Below are 24,842 nucleotides of genomic sequence, written 5' to 3' on the forward strand. Positions count from 1 at the left end.
TGGTGAGAAGTGCAAAGAAAAACAACAAATACTTATGGAGAAACTTATTGTACCAGGCGCTGGGCTAGACCTCAGAAGAGTCAGAGAGGAGAAAAGGCTGGTGATGGCGTTAGCAAGGCAGAGACATGTTTGTGTGGGTGAGTGGTTGGGAACAAGTTCTATTCCAGGGTAGTAAGTTTTGGACCAAGATTCGCAACGATTACAGAAACATCTCTTTGCATTGCAACATTTCACATTCTTCCCCCAATCTTGAATCCGTCATAGCAATTAATTATTGGGTGCTCACCCGGTGCCAGGCTCCATTAGTTCATTTAACCCCCACCACAACCCTGGATGGAAGGCACTATGGTTATCAGCCTCATTTTACTGATCGGGTAATTGAGGCTTAGAAAGGTTAAGAAGTTCGCCCAGAGCCACACATAGTAAGTGGTCTAGTGCAAAAAACACATCATCAGTCACACAATAAACTGCCTCTGTTTGCTGTCTTTCCTGCCATTATAATCCTGCACTCCCTCCTTGACCGCGCCCGTAAGGATTTCCATTTACTGGTCTTTATCAGCTCGCTCTCATGCAATCTCCCCCACTCATCACCTTTCCCAGGCACTCTCAGAAGTACCTGTTAATCTCAGCATCCTGTGCATTTACACCAAGCAGCAGCAACAGCCATTTATTCACTCATCAAACTTGCCGCGTGTCCCCTCTGGGCCTCACTGTTGTCGGTGGTGGATATTCCACTGTGAGCAAGACGTATCCTTCCTTCCATGGCTTACATTCGTTCGGGCAGAGGAGGCAGACCATAAACAAACGGGCAAGTGGGTATATGACATGAGGTAGTGTTAGGAAACAATTCAGAGGAAAGGAATAGAGTGATGAGAGGAGTCCTCTCTGAGGAGAGAACATTGGAGGGGACCCAAGGGAGGTGAGGGGAACAGCCCAAAGATGAGAGCAGCAAGGACAAAGGCCCAGAGACCGGAACATGATCACTGTGCTGTAGGAAGGGGAACACAGAGAGCCTAGTGTGCTGGAGGTGAGCGAGGCCGGATCACCAACAGCCTACTACGCCAGGCAGAAGCCTTTGAGCAGACCAGTAACACCATCTAAGTGTTTCAAGTGCCATTCTTGCCATACCATGGAGGTCCTAGTTAAAGAAAGAAAAATGATGGGCTCTCAAACATGATTCCCTTTGAACATCTATCTTCTTGACGCCTCTGCCCTCTGTAAATTTCTCTGTCTGCTTTGCTCTGAGTGCTTTTCCTCCTTTTCCAAAACATCCCCTTTGCATTTCTTCATCCTCATCGTGTCCCTTCTCATTTCCCTGTGAAGGTCTCATCAAGTCCTTCTTGTGCCTTCTCCTTGAGTGGGTCTCAGACCCCCCCCCCCCCCACATTACAATCATCTGGGCCACACAGACAAACTCCATCAGATTCTCTGGGGGCGAGCCTCAGGGAATCAGGTGTTTTTCAAAAACACACCAGGTGATTCGAATATGCTGTTGGGGCTGCAAACCACAGTTCTGAGTTTACAAGCATGGTCATGCCTCTCCTATCCTAAAAAGAAAAGCCTCTCACTTAAACACCATGTTTTACTTTTTCTTTCTTCTCTTAGCCAAAGTTCCTAAAAGAGTCATCTCATCCAGTGCTTCTCAGACTTTGCCTTGCGCACAGATCACCTGAGGATGCAGACTCCAGGTGGTGGGGGTGCAGCTGGGCCCCTCTTTGTAGCAAGGGGCTGGACTTCTGCCCTTGACTCTTTTGCTTCCCACTCACTTTTTTTTGTTGTTGAGATGTAGTCTCGCTCTGTCGCCCAGGCTGGAGTGCAGTGGTGCAATCTCCGCTCACTGCAACCTCCGCCTCCCAGGTTCAAGCGATTCTCCTGCTTCAGCCTCCTGAGTAGCTGGAATTACAGGTGTCCACCACCACACCTGGCTAATTTTTGTATTTTTAGTAGAGACGGGGTTTCACCATGTTGGTCAGGCTGGTCTTGAACTCCTGACCTCATGATCCACCTGCCTTGGCCTCTCAAAGTGTTGGGATTACAGGCGTGAGCCATCGTGCCTGGCCTCACTTTTTGACTCACTGCCATGTGGCATCACCCCCACAGTGCCACCGATATCGCTCTTGTCAATGTTACCAGTGACTTATCTGCTACCCCTTCTCTGAGGTGGCATATATCATGGTTAAGAGCACAGGCTCGGGGACCAGGTAGCCTAGCTGGGTCCTCTCTCTGTGCCTCAGTATCCCCATCATAGGGAGAAAATGATGATGACATTACTTCCCTAATTATCATGTGATTGCTGTGAGAATTAAGTGCATTCATATACATATAGCTGTCAGAAAAGTACCTGGCACACAGGTGCTTTGTAATCACCGGAGTTTACTGTTTCCGAGACCTAACCATATTTGGCTCCGTTGACTTCTTCGTACTCAGAACTCTGCCTTTCCTTAGCTTCCATAACACCATCATCTCTTAGTTCACTGTCTGCCTTTGCAGCAGCACCTGTTCCTTGCACCCATTGGATGTTGGTGTCTCCCAGAGTTCTGGCTTAGGTCTTTTGATTTTCTCAACCAACCTGGGCCAGCTCACCCAGAGCACTGGATTCCGTTGCTATCCACGTGCAGGACTTTCCTGAACCTACAGCTTCAGCCCAGGTCTTTCTCTCAATTTCCTTTCCATGAATCCGACTGCCTGCTGTGTTGCTCCAGGTGGATTCATTTATTGATTCAACACATTTATTGGTTACCTACTCTGTGCCTGACCCTATGCCACGTGGTGGGGGGTGGTTCTAGCAACATAGTGGTTAGACCTGGGTGTGTGATGGCCCCAGGGAGCTTGCAATCCAGAGCGGAGATTCAACGCTAATTATGAAATTATTTATCTAATTGCAACTGGGATAAGCAATACAAAGGAGACCCTCAGGCTGCTGTGAGAGTTTATAACAGGGACCATACCATAACCTTGTATGGGGTTAACTTATATGTGTGCCAGACCCGGCAGGTCCCAAACTGAACTCATAATTTCCCCTCAACCTGCCTCTCCTCTACCTGTGTTCCTTAGCTTCATGAATAGTCCACCCATCCTTTTCCCTGGGCCAAGACTTGGATATTATGACCCACAGTCTCCCTCACTGACCCCTTCTACCCACCGAGAGGATCCTTCTTACTGGAAAATTAGCCTTCCTGGGTAACTCTTGGAACTCCAAATTCCTACTGCCCAGTGCTCAGGAAGTCTGATTTTACCTCCACTGACAAAGTTGCTAAGAGAGCAACTGAGGGCATGAAGTCCCTCCCAAGGAAGCACAGACCCACTCTGTCTTGCTGCATCTGACAGTGGCACACCTGTCTGGGGATGATGGGAGGATGGAGCAATTGTGACTTCGCTTACTGACCCCTGGCCTGTAACTTGCCCTAATAAACTCTGTTCTTCAACCCGTACTGTGTGAAGTAAAATTCACTCTGATCCATGTTGTATGACACAAAGAGTCTATCTTTTACCAAAAAAGAAAAGGTTTATTCATTTTCTTTCCATTGTAAAGCAATGCCTGCTTGTGGTGGTTTGTGCCTTCCATTTTTTTTTTTTTTTTTTTTTTGAGACGGAGTCTCACTCTCTCGCCCAGGCTGGAGTGCAGTGGCACGATCTTGGCTCACTGCAAGCTCCGCTTCCCAGGTTCACGCCATTCTCCTGCCTCAGCCTCCCGATTAGCTGGGACTACAGGCACCTGCCACCATGCCCGGCTAATTTTTTGTATTTTTAGTAGACACGGGGTTTCACCGTGTTAGCCAAGATGGTCTTGATCTCCTGACCTCGTGATCCGCCCGCCTCAGCCTCCCAAAGTGCTAGGATTACAGGCGTGAGCCACCGTGCCCAGCCTGGTTTGTGCCTTTCTTAAATCTGCTCTGTAGTATGATTTGGGCCATTGCAAATAATAATAATAATAACAATACCTGCTTGTGGCCATTTGTCTTTTTTTGCGCTATCCTGCATTGGATCGCCCTGCCTGTTTGGGAAGATCCCCATTGTATGAATTTTGGGGGCACCCAGACTGGAGCCTGACAGTCTTTCTCCCTGCACTCAGGCAGCTAGAACATGGCCATGTGATAGATACTGGCAAGTCAGATGATCCTGCCCAGAAATCTGGACCTTCAGGGAGTGACGCAAAGACACAGGGACAGTAAAAGAGAGTATTTACGGTGGCAGTGCAGGCATTGAGTCTGGCAGCAGCGCCGACTGTGTGTGCCGGGGTGGCAGTGCCGGCAGCAGCCGCCTAACCACACCATCCCTGTGGTTTGACCTTGGCTGAGATCCCTCCTACTAAACCTTCCACAGCTTCCAGCATTCCGAAGGATGCTGGAACTACCTAATGTTCTTACAATAAATCCTTTCCTGCTCAAGGTAGCTGGAGTCTATTTCTGTAATTTCTCATCAAGAATCCTGACGAATACAATGATTGTTATAGAAAAATCGGAAAATTCCAAAAAGTAGAAGAAAGAAAAATATTCATTTCTCTACATCCAGGAAAACAAAAAACAAAAAACAAAAAACTATGAACAGTTTCTCCCAGTCTTTTACTATGTACACGTTTCAATATAATTGTAGTTATGTGATTTTATAAAACTTTATATATTTTAACCTGATTGGAAAAGTGCTTTCTGCATTCAAAGTTGACATATATCCATTATAGAAAATTTGAGTCTACAACAAGAACAACCCAGAGATAACTATTATTAATAATCTGGTGTATTTCCTTAAAACTTTTCTCTGCATTTTTATAGAATACACTGATTACTCCGAATTTTTATGCATAGTGAACTGAGACATTTTAACAGTTCCTAGAGAAAAGATGACACAAAGAGATGCTGGGGATGGATAATACCTTCCATTTGCTTCGTGTATTACTCTTTACCAATTAAAAAGCCTTAATAGATTCAGGCCTTTAAAGAGGCAGAAAATCATTATGCAAGTTTCTTGGCAGTGAAAATGCATATTGTGCTACCCCACACAACTCCACTTCTACTGACAAAATACAGAAGACCTTTGGTTCAGCTATTTTCCTGGCACCATGTCCCAAGCTCTTTAAAAGTCTGTCTCTTATTGGCAAGTGCTGGAATACAATAGGAGTCATTATTGTTTTTCGTGTCATCAAACATGGCAAAGATGTCGCATGAATTGCAGGATGAATTATGTAGCTTGGGAAACACTTTTCCAGGAACTGGGAAAGGAGTGGAACAGACACAGCTGACAGGCTGAGTCAGTGCGGTGGCAAAGAGCATGGGTCCTGGGACCAACTGCTGAGATTTCACTCTTGGTTCTTACTCCTCAGGTGACCTTAGCCAAGTTACTTTAAACTCTCTGGGCCTCAGTTTCCTCATCTGTAAAATGAGGAATAATATTTGCTAGTATAGAATGGGCACAGTGGCTCACCCCTGTAATCCTAGCACTTTGGGAGGCCAAGGTGGGTGGATCACCTGAAGTCAGGAGTTCAAGACCAGCCTGACTAATATGGTGAAATCCCGTCTCTACTAAAAATACAAAAAATTAGCCAGGCATGGTGGTGCATGCCTATAATCCCAGCTACTTGGGAGGCTGAGGCAGGAGAATCACTTGAACCTGGGAGGCGGAGGTTGCAGTGAGTGGAGATGGTGCCACTGCACTCCAGCCTGGGTGACATGAGTGAAACTCCTCTGTCTCAAAAAATATATATATATATTTATATATGTGTGTGTGTGTGTGTATATATATACACACATATACATATATGTGTATACGTATATACGTGTATATATACATATATACATATATGTGTATGTGTATATATACATATATACATATATGTGTATGTGTATATATACATATATACATATATGTGTATGTGTATATATACATATATACATATATGTGTATGTGTATATATACATATATACATATATGTGTATGTGTATATATACATATATACATATATGTGTATGTGTATATATACATATATACATATATGTGTATGTGTATATATACATATATACATATATGTGTATGTGTATATATACATATATACATATGTGTATGTGTATATATACATATATACATATATGTGTATGTGTATATATACATATATACGTGTATGTGTATATATACATATATACGTGTATGTGTATGTGTATATATACATATATACGTGTATGTGTATGTGTATATATACATATATACGTGTATGTGTATGTGTATATATACATATATACGTGTATGTGTATGTGTATATATACATATATACGTGTATGTGTATGTGTATATATACATATATATGTGTATGTGTATATGTGTATATATACATATATACATATATGTGTATGTGTATATGTGTATATATACATATATACATATATGTGTATGTGTATACATGTATATACGTGTATATATACATATATACATATACACACACACATTATATATATATATTTATATATATATATATTTATATATATATATTTATATATATAAATATATATATATAAATATATATATATATATGCTAGTATAGCAGTCCCCCTTATCCTCAGGGGTAAGTTGCAAGCTCCCCAGTGGGTGCCTGAAGCCAAGGACAGTACGGAGCCCTATGTCTACTGTGTTTTTCATCTAATTACCAAGAGGGCTACTGAGTGACCAATGGGTGAGTGGTGTATACAGCGAGGGTACACTGGACAAAGGGAGGATTCATGTCATGGGCAGGATGGCGAGAGATTTAATCATGCTACTCTGAATGGTGCAAAATTTAAAATGTATTGTTTACTTCTGGAATTTTCCAATTAACATTTTCAGCCCATAGTTTACCGTGAGTTTCTGAAACCATGGAAAGTGCGACTGCAGATAAGAGAGGACTGCTGTGTTTTCTTCAAAATGGGGGTGGTGATAAGAATAATACCGATTTCGGCAGGGCGCAGTGGCTCACGCCTGTAATCCCAGCATTTTGGGAGGCCGCAGCGGGCGGATCACGAGGTCAGGAAATCGACACCATCCTGGCTAACACGGTGAAACCCTGTCTCTACTAAAAAAAAAAAAAAAAAAATTAGCAGGGCTGGTGGTGACGGGCGCCTGTAGTCCCAGCTACTGGGGAGGCTGAGGGAGGAGAATGGCGTGAACCCGGGAGGCGGAGCTTGCAGTGAGCCGAGATCAGGCCACTGCAGTCCAGCCTGGGCGACAGAGCTAGACTCCGTCTCAAAAAAAAAAAAAAAAAAAAAAAAGAATAATACCGATTTCACAGAGTGCATTTAATCCGAGAGGATTACACGATAAAACAAACACAAAGTACTCAGCTCTACTGCTCAGCAGCACATGACACGGACGGCAGCCAGGTCACTGAGTTTGAGAAGCCTTAGAAGTCCTTTGCGTCACAATTTGCCACTTCCTACTTTTTTTTTTTTTTTTTGAGACGGAGTCTTGCTCTGTCACCCAGGCTGGAGTGCAGTGGCACCATCTTAGCTCACTGCGACCTCTGCCTCCCGGGTTCAAGCGATTCTCCTGCCTCAGCCTCCCAAGTAGCTGGGACTACAGGCGTGGGCCACCATGCCCTGCTAATTTTTTGTATTTTTAGTGGAGACGGGGTTTCACCGTGTTAGCCAGGATGGTCTCGATCTCCTGACCTCGGCCTCCCAAAGTGCTGGGATTACAGGCATGAGCCACCTCGCCCGGCCCCTACTTTTTTTAATTAAAATTCTTACTGAATTAAAACATACACTCAGAAAAGTACACAAACCATAAATGCATGGCTTCACTGTTACAAAGCGAGAGCAGTTGTGAAACCACCACCCAGATGAAGAAATAGAGGGTGGCCAGCACCCCAGAAACCTTCTCTCCTGGGCCCTTGCCGTTGTTACTCCCCAGCAAGAACCACCACTATCCTGATTCCTAACACCAGATCAGTTTTATCTGCTTTTGAACTTTTTATGAATAAAATTTTACATATAAATGAATCACAAAGAGTCATGATCTTCTGTGTTTAGCATCTTTCACTCCACATCATATTTACGGGATTCATGTATGTTGTTGCATGAAGCAGAAGTGTATTCATTTCTTGTGAATATTCATATTCAATTGTATAATTATAGCACAATGAATTTGTTTATTCTATAGTTGAGGGACATTTGGATTATTTGCAATGTTTGTTTGTTTGTTTTTTGAGACAGAGTTTCGCTCTTGTTGCCCAGGCTGGAGTGCAATGGTGCGATCTCAGTTCACCGCCACCTCCATCTCCTGGGTTCAAGTGATCCTCCTGCCTCAGCCTCCTGAGTAGCTGGGATTATAGTCATGTGCCACCACACCCAGCTAATTTTGTATTTTTAGTAGAGACAGGGGTTTCACCATGTTGGCCAGGCTGGTGTCGAACTCCCGACCTCAGGTGATCCACTCCGCCTCGGTCTCCCAAAGTGCTGGGATTACAGGCGTGAGCCACCATGCCCAGCCAATTGTTTGCAGTTTTCAGGCTATTTAGAGTAGCGCTGCTATGAATATTCTTGAGTCCTCCAATCCATGAATGTGATATATCCCTCTCACCCTTTATTTAGGTCTTCTTTAATTTCTGTCAGTGATGTAGTATGTAGTTTTATACATCTTTTATTAGATTTATTTCTAGATATGTCTTGCTTTGATGTTATTGTAAATGGTCTCATTTTTAGAATTTCACTTTCTAATTGTTTGTAGCTATTAGTAGAAATACTACTGTTTTTGGCTGGGCACGGTGGCTCACACCTGTAATCCCAGCATTTTGGGAGGCCGAGGTGGGTGGATCACCTGAGGTCAGGAGTTCAAGATGAGCCTGACCAACATGGTGAAACCCTGTCTCTACTGAAAATACAAAAATTAGCTGGGTGTGGTGGTGGGCGCCTGTAATCCCAACTACTCAGGAGGCTGAGGCAGGAGAATCTCTTGAATCCAGGAGGAGGAGGTTGCAGTGAGCTGAGATTGTGCCATTGCACTCCAGCCTGGGTGACAGAGCAAGACTCCGTCTCAAAAAAAAAAAAAAAAAAAAAAAGATTAAAAAAAAAGAATCTACTGTTTTTTGTATATAGAGAGGGTATCCAGCAACCTTGCTAAATTTTATTGATTTTAAGGGTTTGTATGTAGATTTAAAAAAATTTTTTTTTAGAGATGGAGTCTCACTATGTTGCCCAGGCTGGAGGACACTATTCACAGGCATGATTGTAGTGCACTGCAACCTTGAGCTCCTGGGCTCAAGCAATCCTCCTGCCTCAGCCTCCCAAGCATTGGGACTACAAGCACATGCCACTGTGCCAGGCTTTATCTGTAGATTAAAAAAAAAATCCTATGTACATAATCATGTTGCCTATGCATAATAGCAACTTTATTTCTTTTTTTCCAATACATAAGACGTAAGATTTTTATTTTTTTTCCTGCCCTATTGCACTGGTAAAATCCAAGCACAATGTTGAATGGAAGTAGCGATAGCATGTCTTCTTGATTTATTTCTAATATCAGAAGAAAACATTCAATATTTCACCACTCAATGTGATGTTTGCTATAGGGCTTTTACAATGCCTTTGTAAGATTATTTTTAAGAATTACTTGTTTGCTAAGAAGTTTTTTATTTTTAAACCATGAATGAGTGTTGAATTCTATCAAATACTTTTTCTGCATTCCAGCCTGGGCTACAGAGTGAGACTCGGTCAAAAAAAAAAAAATCCCTCCTTGCAGGGATATAGACACTTTCAACAGCATCTCAGTTGAACTGCCTACTAAAGCAAAAATTCTTCTGTAGAAAGACCACCTGACTTTAATGAATGGCCCTGTAACCTGAGGGGAGAAGGGAGAGAAAAGAAAGGCACTTTGGGATCCCTTAAAAGAGGAGGTGACCAGCCAAGCATGTTGGCTCATGCCTGTAATCCCAACACCTTGAGGCCAAGGTGGGCTGATCACTTGAGGTCAGGAGTTCGAGACCAGCCTGGCCAACATGGTGAAACCCTGTCTCTACTAAAAATACAAAAAAAAAAAAAAAAAATCTCTGGGCGTGGTGATGGGTGCCTGTAATCCTGGCTACTTGGGAGGCTGAGGCAGGAGAATCGCTTGAGGCAGGAGAACCTGGGACACGGAGGTTCCAGTGAGCTGAGATTGTGCCACTGTACTCCAGCCTGGGCAACAGAGCAAGACTCCATCTCGAAAAAGAAAAAGAAATGTGGAAGAAGGAGAAAAGAGTAGATAGGAAGTGTTATTCCAAGAGGGAGGCGCAGGGAGCCCTAATGGCCAAGGTGGGGCACAAATCCACCGAGCACTGGGGATCAAGTAGAGGCAGGGGAGTGAGGGCACTGCCCAGGGGCCAGGGAAGCCTGAAGTTTGGGTTGGAGACAGAGGCAGGGGGTAGAGATCCCTTCCCCACATCACCAATTGCCAGTGATTGTACCAGGGTCTAGGAATCCAGATAGGGCTACTTGAGATGCTGTGTGTCCACCAGAGCCCAGGGAGAGAGCTGAACTGTGCCTCCCCCATGGCCCCGGATGGGCCGAGGGAAAGGGAAGCTGCCTGTCCTGGGCCCACATTCCTGGGTACTGCCCGGATGGAGGCCATGGGTGAGGGAGGACCCTTGGGAGCAGGGAACAGAGGTGGGCCCAGCAGTACTGGGGACAGGGAGAGACGGGGGAGGTGCAAGGGAGGTTTTGACAATGTTTATGTTTTCACAGCTGCCAACTCAGGGTCGGGGAGCAATTGCTGGGTGAGAGAAAAATAAGCTGAGCAACTTGAGCTGGTTGAGAAACTCATTTCTGAACTTCACAGGAAGAGTTGGGGGAAGCTGAGGAGTTGCCTAGGCCAGCAGGCCTTGTAGAAGATAACAGTGATGGGCTTTTATCCCTGCCATGACCAAGCCCTAGGCCAGGCATCTCCTGACTCCTGCAGACACCAGTTGAAGCTTCCTCTACTCAGTTCTTCCCACCAGGAGACAGACCAGAAGCAGCTCTGGATACTGCTGCACTTTTGTCTTACGTGAAGTCTCTGGGGCTCATCTCACCCTTTGGGGGGTCAGCTGGCTTCCAGTGAATTGACCTTTTGGCTCAAGGGTTCCCAGAGAGACAGTCTCCTGCTTTGGGTTCCCACTTTGCTTATGTAGGGTTTATACAATGTAGGATCTTCTCTTTCTCCAGAGTTTCAACCCCAAGGCGGGGTAAGCCCCCTGGCAGCTGCTCTTCACCCTTGTCTGAGCACAGGCCCACACTCCTCTCACTCCTGTATGTCTCTCTGTCATCTCCCAGCTCCTGGAGAGCATCCACTCCCTCCCTCCCACATGTGACTTACAGTAGACTAGACTGCACACCTCCAAGCATTGCCATGGAGAGGAAAAGAAGACTTTTGGAATTTTGGAAATACTGAAATTCCCAACAAAATTTCTCTTCAGCCTATGGTATCTCTATTGTCAGGAGCCCAGGACATAATAATTTCAGTGGAATTTAAAATGCATCATTTCAGAGCCAGGCATGGTGGCTCACACCTCTAATTCCCAGCACTTTGGGAGGCCCAGGTGAAAGGATTGCTTGAGGGCAGAAGTTCAAGACCGTACCCTAGCTCTACAAAACAAAAATACATCATTTCATGATATGGAAAGGTCTCTAGAATTGCTAAGTGAAAAAAGGCAAGGCACAATGGATGCTTCTTTTTCAAGGAACACAAATAAATGCTCCCTTTGGGCAAGGAGGGTAGAGTAAGAAAATATATTGGGGCCGGGCATGGTGGCTCACATCTATAATCCCACCACTTTGGGAGGCTGAGGCAGGAGGATCACTTGAGGTTAGGAATTCAAGACCAGTCTGGCCAACATGGTGAAACCCCGTCTCTACTAAAAATACAAAAATTAGCCAAGCGTGGTTTTAGCTGGGCGTGGTTGCATCTCCCTGTAATCCCAGCTACTCGGGAGGCTGAAGCAGGAGAATCACTTGAACCCGGGAGGTGGAGGTTGCAGTGAGCTGAGATCGTGCCACTGCACTCCAGCCTGGGTGACAGAACAAGACTCTGTCTCAAAAAAAAAAAAAAAAGAGAGAGAGAGAGAAAATATATTGGTATTTGCTTATATCTGCATCAAGAAATGCTGGAAAAGACTGACCAGAAGTGAATAAAAGTGGTTACCCATGGGGGACTAAAGAATAGGATGTCTGGGAACTGGAGTGGGAATGAGACTTCCTAAGGTATTCCTTTTCATTTGGCTTTGATTTGTGAACCATATAAATATTAGCCATCATTTTAAAATAAAAATAAATTAATTCTATAATGTCTAAATTGAAGGGCACAAAAACCCTCTCATGGGACTCCGTGGGGGAGTGTGTTAACGCACAGACACAGGGACTGCTAAGGCTCATGGGATTGGGAACCTTACAGGGCGGCGGCTGTCTCTGGGGGCCTCCTCGCTCCGGTTGGTCGGTCGGTCGGTGCCTCTGCGCCTCTGCCAGCGGGCTCTGCATTTGCATCCGTCCCGGCTTCTCTCCGATCACTCAGGCTTGCCACCTACCCAGTCGGCTTTGCTCAGACTGGATTGGCTCTCCCGGATCAGGTGTGACCCAATCAGCTGTGGCCATGGGGACGTGGTTACTCTGGGCTCTCAGGGCTGCTTGGCACCCGTCTCCCTCTTCCTGGGTTGTGGGTGGAGACAGTTTCAGAGTAGAGGAGTCTACTCTGGAAGTAGAGGAGTCTACTCAGGAAGACAATCATAGGATTGCTTGGTCCAGGCTGTTGCTGGATGGGTCACTCAAAGGTCGGGGTAAAAGTCCAGCCTGCAATGGGGACCCCTAGACACGAGGGAGCAGATGGAAGGTTCTCGGGTGCCTGAAGGAGAGAGGCAAACCAGACGGCTGAGTAAGGCATCCGTCCCAACTTGCTGTATGACCTGGCTTCTCCTCTTGGCCTCGGTTTCTCATTTGTGGAAAGGGGATTGGGCTGGATGATACTCCGAGGTCCCGTCCATCTCTAAAGCGGGAGAAGCAAAGTTCAGCAAAAAAGCATTGAATTAGGAGTCCGGAGACCTGACTTCAGGTGCCTCTTCCTCGACTCCTAATCAGACCACGTGACCTCCATGAGCCTCTGTTTCCTCCACCAGAGCATGGGGATAACACTCCCTGCACACTGCCATGAGAGTTAAATAAACTCCTGTGCACCAAACGTCCTGTCGACTGTCCTGTGGGTGCAGATGGGTGAACACAAAGGCCATCACCTCTATGAAATGGGGATGTGACTCCTTCCCTGCCCCCTGTCAGGATGACTATGGGCTCAGATGAGGCAGTAGGACCCTGGTGGAGGGATTGAGCGCCGGACTGGGACACCAGAGAGCTGGGCTCTGTCATTTGCCAACTGTGTGACCCTGGCCTAGGGTTCTTCCTCTCTGGGCCTGCACTTTTTCTCCGTGAAGTGGGAATGACAAGGCCTGCCTGACAGGGTTGTAGCAAGAAAATAAGAAGGTGAGTGTGAGGGTTGTTGTGTGAACTGTGGAGAGTTTGTGGTGACAGGAATGATGAATGCGACTGTTCCCTGGTTCCCCAGTTCCCACTCTGGCAGCCCAAGCCAAAGGAGGATAAAGTGTGATGTTAATTAAGCTCAATGACATCCCCCTCCAAAGCCCTGGGAGGGGTACTAGCAATGTATTTACATGGTCCTAACGTTTCTGTAAAACCTATAGGAGTAAAACGTTTTGACTACAATCATTGAAGATCACGGTCTCTTCCACTCCAACTTCTGTGTCATATTTCCACACATGTTGGATGGTTTGGAATGGCCATGGCATTTTGGGGATCTGGCTAAAGGGAAGTTGAGTTAAAGACATATTTGTTTGGCTTAGTGGGATCTATTTACGTGGCTTACAGTGTAAAGTTATTACTAGCCATTCTGGTTTAGGAATGGTTTCCAGGAATACTCCTCCTGTCCACCAATACTCACCATGCTGACTCACCCGTCATTGTGACATGATGGTGCAGGGCCAGATGCCACATTGAAATATGAATGTCAGCTCCCACCACTGGCAGTTTGTGGAAGAGAAACAAAGTTTGAAATGTACAAATCCAGAAGTTAGTCTGTAGAAAATTCTTACACTATCAGAACATGGGACTCATTTCTCATGCCCAGTCAAAATGAAAGTTCTCTCTTGTCAAGAATATATGCAATAATGTAGCATACACCATGACACATGTGCCACACATTAGTTTCTCTTTAATGAGATTCATGCAAAATAAAATTGATCAGAATTCCATTGTTAGGCCAGGCACAGTGGCTCATGCCTGTAATCCCAGCACTTTGGGAGGCCAAGGTGGGAGGATCACTTGAGCCCAGGAGTTTGAGACCAGCTTGGGCAACATGGTGAAACCCTCTCTCTACAAAAAATACAAAAATTAGCCAGGTGTGGTGGTGCATGCCTGTGGTCCCAGCTATGTGGGAAGCTGAGGTAGGAGGATCGCTTGAGCCTGACCGTCAAGGCTGTGGTGAGCCATGATAGCACCACTGCACTCCAGTCTGGACAACAGAGAGAGTGCCTGTCTCAAAAAAAAAAAAAAAAGAAAAGAAGAAAAAAAAAATCACTGCTTATAGTGAGTGCTTGAGTGTTACAGCAGTTCTACAAGCAACAAGTACTTTTGTGTGTGAAGATAGATGTTTTATGCACTCCAGTATATGGAATCACATCTTGGTGCAACTGATGGATCTTGTCCTGATAAGGTCTGGCAGTTCCGGATGAAATGGCACATGAAATTGCCACCAACACAGCAAGACAGCCTGAAGAAACAAGTGTTCCTGTGACAAAACTCCTACATGTGCTCATCAATAAGTACAGTGTATGTGACATAAGAGTAATTTTATTACACAATTATGTAGCTCAAAGCAATGTAGTAGCAATTTAAGAATGCATCTGAATTGCTCTCCTTAACGAGCACCATCAATTCAGAGTATTTAAGATTGGTCCGCAACACAAGAAAACTTGAAAACCCTGAAATCTTACAGCTCATTTATAAAAGAAATTTGATAAAGGTTTCCCTCAACTTGACAACAATCCTAAAAATGTACACGACTTTACCAGTAAGTCATGAAGCCAAAATAGATTTTTGTAAACTATCACTAATAAAATAACAAATTAGTCAACCATACCACGGCAAGCAGTGAATTATCTTTCCATTCTCTTAATAGAAAATGGCAGCACGAAAGTACTGTCATATGAAAAAGCAGCCAAAAGATATGTAGCAAAAATGAAGGGAAAAAAGATATTATAAATGTTTATTAAGCACTGAATAAAAAATATACTGCTATTGGGGGGATTTTATAATATTTGTAGTGTCAACTTTTCTGATTTGTAGGTTGTTTTATTTTCTCATTTCAAGTAACTATTCATGTCTGTACCTAATAGTGTCTTTTTTTATTATTTTTTTTATTTTTTTAGACAGGATCTCACTCTGTCGCCCAGGCTGGAGTGCAGTGATGTGATCTCAGCTCACTGCAACCTCGGTCTCCCAGGGTTCAAGCACGATTCTTGTGCCTCAGGCTCCCAAGTAGCTGGGATTACAGGCATGCACCACCACGCCCAGCTAATTTTTGTATTTTTAGTAGTGACAGGGTTTCACCATGTTGACCAGGTTGGTCTCAAACTCCTGGCCTCAAATGATCCACCTGCCCGACCTCCCAAAGTGCTGGGATTAGAGGCGTTTGAGCCACCGTGCCCAGCTGTTAATTTTGTCTTTATGATTTTTATTATTTTCCTTAAGGAAGGCCTCCAAATTGTACAAAGTTAGGGACCACAAAACTTGCATCTGCTGTGGCCTGAGGGGCTGCAGTGATTCACACTCCACAAGAGACCCTTCCAATACCCCAGGCCCTCCTGCTCTCTCCTTTGGCTCCAGTGGGTGAGACACCCCCATCTCTTACCAGAGTGCACTGCAGCTGGCACTGCCATGGATCTGAGCCATGCCCAGCCCCAGGCCCCTGCACAGGGGACAGCAGCAGGCACCTCCCCGGAGGAATGAGCCTGGCCTTGGGAGGTCCCACCCTCCTGCACACTTCTGCAACCAGGCTTCCTAACACTGGCCTCGCTGCTCTCACACCTTCTCTGGCTGCTCAGCTCCTCCAAGACAAAACAGTTGGGCATTTAAGGCCTTTCTGGGTCTGGTTTTATTTTACATTGAAAATAGTTTTTTTTGTTTTTTTTGGTTTTGTTTTTTGGAGACACAGTTTTGCTCTTGTTGCCTAGGCTGGAGTGCAATGGTGTGACCTCAGCTCACTGCAACCTCTGCCTCCCGAGTTCCAGCGATTCTCCTGCCTCAGCCTTTCGAGTAGCTGGGATTACAGGTGCATGCCACCATGCCCGGCTAATTTTTGTATTTTTAGTAGAGATGGGGTTTCTTCATGTTGGCCAGGCTGGTCTCAAACTCCTGACCTCAGGTGATCCACCCGGCTCAGCCTCCCAGAATGCTGGGATTACAGGTGTGAGCTACCGTGCCTGGCCCAAAATAGGTTTTAAAAATTAGATTTTCTTTCAGAATAAATCTGATAAACAAGAAAGCAATCTTGTATCTGGCCACCACAGTAAATTCTTGACTTTTAAAAATATTGACACATAGTAATTGTACATATTTGTGGGGTACAGTGTGATGTTTCCATACACGCACACATTGTGTGATGACCAAATCAGGGTAGTTAGCATATCCATCACCTCCAACATTTATTATTATTTTTTTGCACCACAGTAAATTCCTTAATGATTTCTATTTTTTTTTTCCTGTTGATTGGGAAGACAAACATGTTATCTGCAAATAGCCATGTGGTCTATTCTTTACCAACATTTAGACTTCTGGATCAGTCAGAGGTTTGGTTCGCAAACAGCAGAAATCAACTCTACTTAAACTAACATGGGAAGGCTACTGGGAGAATCAAACTCTCGGCAGGCAAAATAACCAAGGTTTTATTACAGTTCTGCCTTCTTTCTGTGACTTAGCACTCCTCCCTCAGAAGGTGCAGCCTAACATCTGAAAATATCTTCACTTCTTTTCTCAGTTACTGATATAGCTTGCATTGCATGTTCCCTCCAAATCTCATGTCGAATGTAATTCCCAGTGCTGGAGGTGGGGCCTGGTGGGAGGTGTTTGGATCAGGGGGCAGATCCCCCATGGCTTGGTGCTGTCCTCGAGACAGTGAGTTCTTGGGAGATCTGGTTGTTGGTTCTTGCCATGTGAGATGCTTGTTCCCCCTTTGCTTCCACCATGAGCAAAAGCTCCCTGAGGCCTCCCCAGAAGCAGACGTCAGTGTTATGCTTCTTGTACAGCTTGCAGAACCACGAGCCAATTAAACCTCTTTTCTTTATAAATTTCCCACTCTCAGGTATTTCTTTGTAGCAGTGCAAGAACAGCCTAATAATGGTTATTCTGTACAACTCCAAGTCCAGTAGTTCTGGGTGAGATCCATTCCTTCTCTAATTCTGTCCCACTCCTGTCTCAATATTCTGCAACAATGTATACAATAGTGGATTAAAGGGAAAGACAAAATACATTTATTAAAATATATAAATATACCCATGGCACAGCAAGGAAGAACATACAGGCTCTGTATGGTTGTGGTTAGGATGTGTGACCTCCCTCCTCATTTATTCCATGTTTCCTGTGTCCTCCACCCACACCTTGGGTGGCAGGCATTCTTTACTGGTAGGGTGACCTAGACCATTATTCCCAAGGGGGCTAAGCCCTGGTGCCCTTGCCTAAATAGGTTTGTTGTACCTTCTTCCATGTTGACCACTGTATGAGGATGAGCATTGTAGGAGGATGAGCAGACAGGACAGAGGGATCCTGGAGGTCAACCTCACTTCTTCATGCCCCCATCGCAGTGACCTCCCCATTACCTTTGATAGTCTAAATCAATGCTGTCCAATAGAACTTTCTGCAGGGATGGAAATGTTCCATAGCTGCTCTGGCTAATATGGTAGCCAGGAGCCACATGCGGATACAGATCACTTGAAAGGTGTCTAGTGTGTCTAAGGAACTGAACTTCTGATTTTGTTTAATTCAAGATAATTTAAATATAATAGCCACGTGTGGCTAGTGGCCACAGTATTGGGCAGCACGGGTCTAAATCAGTCATTGAAGCCAAAGCCTTGACCTCTCTTTGGGCCTGTTTGTCCAGTACCATGGAGAGCCCGTAGTGGTGGGCTGTCAGTATTAACTTCCTGTTTAGGCAGCCATTGTGTTTTACTCACATTGAAGCTTTACTCCTTTGGATATCAAAACCTGTAAACCAACAAGCGCAGAGCTGTGGGAACAAGAAGCGCATTTATTGAAAAGGTGTTATTAGTGAAGGGCACCATTCCCACATCCATGCTTTGGTGCCAAGATTGCTGTGATCAGTATAAATTGGTTGCTGGTTGTGCTCACATACCAAACGCTGGTGGACAGTGTCCCAAATTCACAAAATGTTGTCTACCAGGGTGCTGGGACTGATCCTTTTTTTTTTTTTTTTTTGAGACAGAGTCTCGCTCCGTCGCCCAGGCTGGAGTGCAGTGGTGCGATCTCAGCTCACTGCAACCTCTGCCTGCTGGGTTCAAGTGATTCTCCTGCCTCAGCCTCCCGAGTGGCTGGGTGTACAGGCATACACCACCATGCCTGGCTAATTGTTTGTATTTTTAGTAGAGATGGGGTTTCGCCACGTTGCCCAGATTGGTCTCAAACTCCTGAGCTCAGGCGATCTGCCCACCTCGGCCTCCCAAAGTGTTATCATTACAGGTGTGAGCCACCGCACCTGGCTGGGACTGATCCTTTAACAGCCCATTCTACTCTTCTATAGGGCCAGCTGCTCCTACATGTATGAAAAGACCAGTGAATCCCATGACTATCAACCCACTGCTCCATTTCTTTGACTGTACACCTGATCCTAGGGCAGAAACAGTGTTGTATGGGTTGCTATGATGGAGTGGAGGACATTATTCAGGCCACTGATGGTGGTGTTGATGGAAACACAGTAAAGACAGGATGCATATTCAACTCCAATATAAGTAGTTATTCCAGTGACGTCAAGTTCCTGCCCCTCCACGATGGAAGGAGCCCCAGTAAAACTAACTTTCCATCAAGTAGCTAACTGGTCCTCCTCACTGTGGTATAATATCAGATTTGCAGAACTGGTTTCTACTGCTGAAAGTTAGACCCTCATCGGTGCCAGTGGCTGCTTCACCTTTGGAGAGGCCATTAGGTCCTCACTTGGATAGGTGGCTGCTGCATCCAAAACTACTTTATTCCTGAGTGGGTACAAGGGTGACCGAGGAAAGAGACTTATAGACATTTACTCATCCACTGGGTGGGTCTTCTTGTCCACCTGATTATTGAGAACTTGCTCCACAGTGAGGACATTTTGGAGAGAATCCACATGGCACACAAATACTCATTGCCTCTGGGTCAGTTCTGAGCGATCCATGCACATTCTCTTCCCCAAACCATCCTGTCTCCAATCTCGCATCTTGTTCTGGAGTCCTTGTTTGTCCAGCAAAACCATGACCTACTGCCCATGAGCCAGTGTAGATCTATATCTCAGGCCATCTGGCCTTTGGGGAAAGTGTTCAAGATGTAACGCTCTAAATTCCACTCCTGAGAGGATTTGTTCTCCACACTGTCTTTTGGGGCCACTCCTGAGTGGGAGAGTAACACTGCAGCTGTGCACTTTTACTGAACCAGTTGGGGTAAACTCTACTCAATTATTATCTTCCTCTGTCAACTGGCCACAAGGAACACCCCTGAAGCCATAGATGTGGAGCATAGTTTGAGTGACAGGAGGACAGGACCACAGGAGGTGAATTATCCCCACAGCTGTGTTTGGGTGACAGGCCACCCATGTGTCCAAGTGAACACTGCTTGGCGCTTCCAGCTGCAACAACGGCAGTGTGTGCTCCAGCCTTCCTGCTTGGAACTGTAATTCCTTTGTGTGTTTTGTGTATCAGATTTTGGTATGCAGACTTGCAAAAGAGTGTATTTCCATCTTTATGTTCTATATAGTTTAATAAGATTATCAGTGTGTTGAAAGTTTGTCAGATTTTGCCTTCAGTCATCTAGGTATTTATGTGTTTTGGTTGGTAGACCCTGAACGATCTTTTCAATTTCTTCTCTAGTAACAGGGCCACTCAGGTTTTGTTGTTGTTATTGTTGCTGTTTTTTGAGACGGAGTCTTCTTCTGTCGCCCAGGCTGGAGTGTAGTGGCACAGTCTAGGTTCACTGCAATGTCTGCCTCCCGTGTTCAAGTAATTCTCCTGCCTCAGCCTTTCAAGTAGCTGGGATTACAGGAGCACACCATCACATCCGGCTAATTTTTGTATTTTTAGTAGAGACGGGGTTTCATCATGTTGGCCAGGCTGGTTGCGAACTCCTGACCTCAGGTCATCCACCCATCTTGGCCTCCCAAAGTGTTGGGATTACAGGAGTGAGACACCACACCCTTCCACCACTCAGGCTTTTTATCTCTTATTGAGCCTATTTGGTAATTTACATATTTCTAGAAATATATCCATTTTTATCCATAATATCTGCTTTATCTAAGTTTTCAAATTTTAGCATCATGTTACACATATTATTTGCTTATAATCTATACAATTGCCTCTGTATTTGCAGTTGTGTAATCCCTCTTGCCTTTACTAATGATAAATATTTGTGTTTTCTCTTTTTTCTTAGATGCAATAGAGTCTAATCAAAGCTTAATTTTATCAGTTCTACTTTATTTTTCTAAATCATTAATTTATATATTTTCGTTTTTTGTTTTGTTTTGTTTTGAGACAGAGTCTCGCTCTGTCACCCAGGCTGGAGTGCAGTGGCGCGATCTGGGCTCACTGCAACCTCCACCTCCCGGGTTCAAGCAATTCTCTTGTCTCAGCCTCCCAAGAAGCTGGGACTACAGGTGCACGCCGCCACGCCCAGCTAATTTTTGTATTTTTAGTAGAGATGGGGTTTCACCATCTTGGCCAGGCTGGTCTTGAACTCCTGATCTCGTGATCCACCTGCCTCAGCCTCCCAAAGTGCTGGGATTACAGGCATGAGCCACCGCGCCAGGCCTAATTTATATATTTTCTTTTGTAATTTCCTTTGCTTTTCTGAGAGTATTTTATTGTACCTTTCCAGCTTCTTGAATTGAATGTTCAGGGCATTCCACCCTCCCCCGCCCCCTAATTCTTACCATTATCAATTTGAATGTAAGCTCTACAAAAAGAATCTCTCTTTCTGTTCAATCCCCAACACCTAGAGCAGTGCTGGCCTATAATAGGCACTCAGAAAATATTTGTGGAATGAATGAGTTATTGACTTTACACATAAGAGTTTAAGACTATGACCACTGCTCTGAGAAAATCTTTAGTCTTATTATCTAGGTTTTAATATTTCAGTTACTAACAATGATATTCTCATTGTTAATAATAATTTCTGACAATTTGTGATTTTTTTTTTTTTTTTTTTTTTTTTTTTTAGAAATGGGGCGTCACCATGTTGCCCAGGCTGGTCTCAAACTCCTAGCCTCAAGTGATCCTCCAGCCTTGGCCTCCTGAAGTGCTGGGATTACAAGTGTGAGCCACCATGCCTGGCCTCAATTTTTATCTTTTAATTTAACTTGAGCTGTGGAGAAATGTTTGAAAATTTATAAGTGGTTAGACCTGGGGTGAAGGTATTATCTGTTTGTTGTTAATTTCTAGATGGATTACATTGTGATCAGGAAATGTGGTTCATATGATTTCTACTTTTTGGTTACTGAGTTTTTTGTGGACTGGTATGTGGTCAGTTTTTGTCATTGTTCCATGAGAATTTGAAAAGAAAACAGGTAGTCTGTTTTGAGAGTACACACAAAGCTTATTTAATTTGATATTCAAACCTTCTCTTTTCTTTACTCAATTTGAGTCTGAGAAAGTTATGATAAATCCTCCCACTGAGACGATTGCTGGGTAAAAGACCTCTTCATTTCACATCTTCTTGGCACACTGTACTTTTATTTGAAAAAAAAAAAAGTTCTTTATCTTGTTTAATGCATCTTGCCTTGAATTCTACTTTGTCTGATATAAACATATCCTACCTTGCTTTCTTTATGTCAGCATTTGCCTGAGATATCTTAGCCAGGCCTTCCGTGTGACTCTTGTTGTTTTGAGTGAGTATTTTATAACTGGTGTGTAGTTGGAGTTGTGTAAGTCTGTGTATGAGTGCATACAAGAATATGTGGGTGTCTGCCCAGTATTAGGATCTTTCTCATTAAATAGAGGTACTTAGCTAAGTCACAGCTATCCTGCAACAAGGACATGTTTGACCTTCCTGCCATTTTATACATTGTTATCATTCATTTTTGACTGGCTTTTTCTAGTCTTTTTGGACTAGTTTTCTATAGGAAGATTGTATGGAGGGCCAGGTGTGATGGCTCACACCTATAATCCCAGCACTTTGGGAGGCCGAGGTGGGAGGATCACTGGAGCCCAAGAGTTTGAGACCAGCCTGGCCAACATGGCGAAACCCCATCTCTACCAAAAACCCAAAAATTAGCTGGGCGCATGCGCCTGTAATCCCAGCTACTTGGGAGGCTGAGGCAAAAGAATTTCTTGAACTCTGGAGGTGGAGGCTGCGGTAAGCCAAGATTGTGCCACTGCACTCCAGCCTGGGGCACAGAGTGAGGCTCCATCTCAAAAAAAAAAAAAAAAAAGAAAAGAAAATGAAAGATTGTATGGAGGAGGAGCCAGAGACCAAAGCAGTGAGTTGAGCTAGCGTGCAGCTTACATTTGAGCTTTGTCTTGTGATAGTTTCTGTGGTAGACTGAATAATGGCCCCAAAGATATCAAGTCCTAATCCCTGGAACCTGTGAATGTTACCTTAAATGGCAAAGATTTTTGCATATGTGGTTAAATTGAGGATCTTGACATGGAGAAATTATTCTGGATTATCTGGCTGAGCCCTAAATGCGATCATGAGTGTTTTAATGAGAAAGAGGCAGGAGCAGATTTGACATACACACAGGAGAGAGGAGGGCAATATGACCACTGAGGCAGAGATTGGAGTGGTGCAGACACAGGCTAAGGAGTGCTGGCGGCCCCCGGAAACTGCAAGAGGGAAGGAACGGATTCTCCCCTAAGCCTCCGGAGGGCGCCCCACTGCCAACACCTTGATTTTGACCCAGTAACACAGATTTGGGACTTCTGCTCTCTAGAACTGTGAGAGAATAAATCACTGGTGTTTGTGGTAATTTGTTTCAGCAGTCATAGGAACTAATACACTTTCTAATCCACAATTTCCCCAGGGTGTGACTTCACCCCAGACTAGCAGAGAACCCACGGTCAAGCCCCCACAGTGTCCCAGGTTTGTGTGTGGTGGTTCGGCCTTTGTTTCTCTTCAGCCAGCAAGACCAGCAGTGGCAGGGCTGCCAGTCACCCACCAGATGGTCATCCAGCTTCCTGCAAGGATGGCAACTTCTGCCTTCCCGTTTTCAGCGCTCCCTCCACAGCCATGCCACACGGCCAAGCAGCATTCAGGAAAGTTCAGAAGCCCATCCAAATACTCTGACCTTTGCTGTTCCAACAGAGGGGTCTTCGGTTTTATCCTTCCTGGTCTCTAGGGGTATATGGTCTCTCAGAATCCTCTCCAGATACTATACTATCTGGAGAGACCAGGATAGTAACCAATTGTTATAGTATTCATACATTATGTTTTGGTGTTATGAGTGTCCAAGTTTTGTGCAAAAGAGCATTTCTCTCCTATTTCTCATTCTTCTTAAGGTTTTACTTGGTTTCAGAGAGGAGAAAGGGGTGGAGACGCCTTTACTCCACTGTCTTTAACTGCAAGTGTCACTAGTTTGGGGCAGAGCTTATTGCGTAGTTCATTAATTCTCAAGTTTTTCATTTTGGCAGCCATGTTGGTCGTTTCCAAATTCTCTTTCTCTTTCATTGCAGCCTGCTCCATCTAGTTTTATCTATGTGACATCCTCTTGAACCTCACAGTTAGTCTGATTGATTGTACTCATTCCTTTTCATGGGAGGCCATTTATTCAGCTTTTTCAGCCTTGCCCTCTCTTTTGAGCCTCTCCTTCTCATTGATCTGGTGATTTATTGTTATAGCTAATATTTTTGTTTCTCCTACTTATAAATAAAGATCTAGATTTCACTCTCCAAAATAAATTTTACAGAACACTTGTTCCATTATATGTTAAAAGGGATTATTTTATTAAAGTACAGCTGGGCGTGGTGGTGTGCACCTGTAGTCCCAGCAACTCTGGAGGCACAGTGTCATGAGCCCGAGTTTGAGGCCAGCCTGGGTGACATAGTGAGGCTCCGTCTCTAAATAAATAAGGAAATACTAAATAAAAAATTTTAGAAGTTCAATGGCTCAATTAGTGTGGGAAATGTTAAGTTAAACCAATTTTTTATAAAAGTTCCTAAAGAAGCAATATGAAATAATGATGAGGATGTGGAGCAACAGTAACTCCCATACATTGTTTTGGAAAATAGTTTGGCAGTGTGCACACACTTGCAAATTCCATTTCTAGGTACACCTGCCTAGGAAAAATATGAAACATCTGTTTACAACAAGACTAGCACACAGTGTTCATGGCAGCTTTGCTCACAGTAAAAACTGGAAAAAAACTAAATATTTACCAGCAGGAAAATAGATACACAAATTGCAATAAGTATATTCTTACAAGAAAATATGGTCAACAATGAAAAGTGATGAATTACTGACACATAGCAACATGGATGCATTGCACAGATATTATGGTGAGTGAAAGAAGCCAGACCGGAAGGGGTGCATGTTTTGTGAGAATCCATTTCTGCGAAGCTTCAGAACAGGCAACATGAATCTATCATTATAGAAGTCATAACGTGGTTGCCTGTGGGGTGGACCTGGGGAATTTCT

At 44.4% G+C, this 24,842-nt stretch overlaps 2 annotated features.

The window, feature by feature from the left end:
- Positions 12,489 to 12,989: an enhancer, noted in NCBI's record as "H3K4me1 hESC enhancer chr15:77376319-77376819 (GRCh37/hg19 assembly coordinates)". NCBI's record gives its function as "activates a minimal SCP1, AML or CMV promoter by ChIP-STARR-seq in primed H9 embryonic stem cells {active_cell/tissue: H9 hESC(primed)}" and the evidence as "EXISTENCE:reporter gene assay evidence [ECO:0000049][PMID:30033119]".
- Positions 12,641 to 12,690: an enhancer, noted in NCBI's record as "active region_9890". NCBI's record gives its function as "activates an Ori minimal core promoter by ATAC-STARR-seq in GM12878 lymphoblastoid cells {active_cell/tissue: GM12878}" and the evidence as "EXISTENCE:reporter gene assay evidence [ECO:0000049][PMID:35858748]".

The sequence above is a fragment of the Homo sapiens genome, chromosome 15, assembly GCF_000001405.40.
Source record: "Homo sapiens chromosome 15, GRCh38.p14 Primary Assembly".
NCBI lineage: Eukaryota > Metazoa > Chordata > Mammalia > Primates > Hominidae > Homo > Homo sapiens.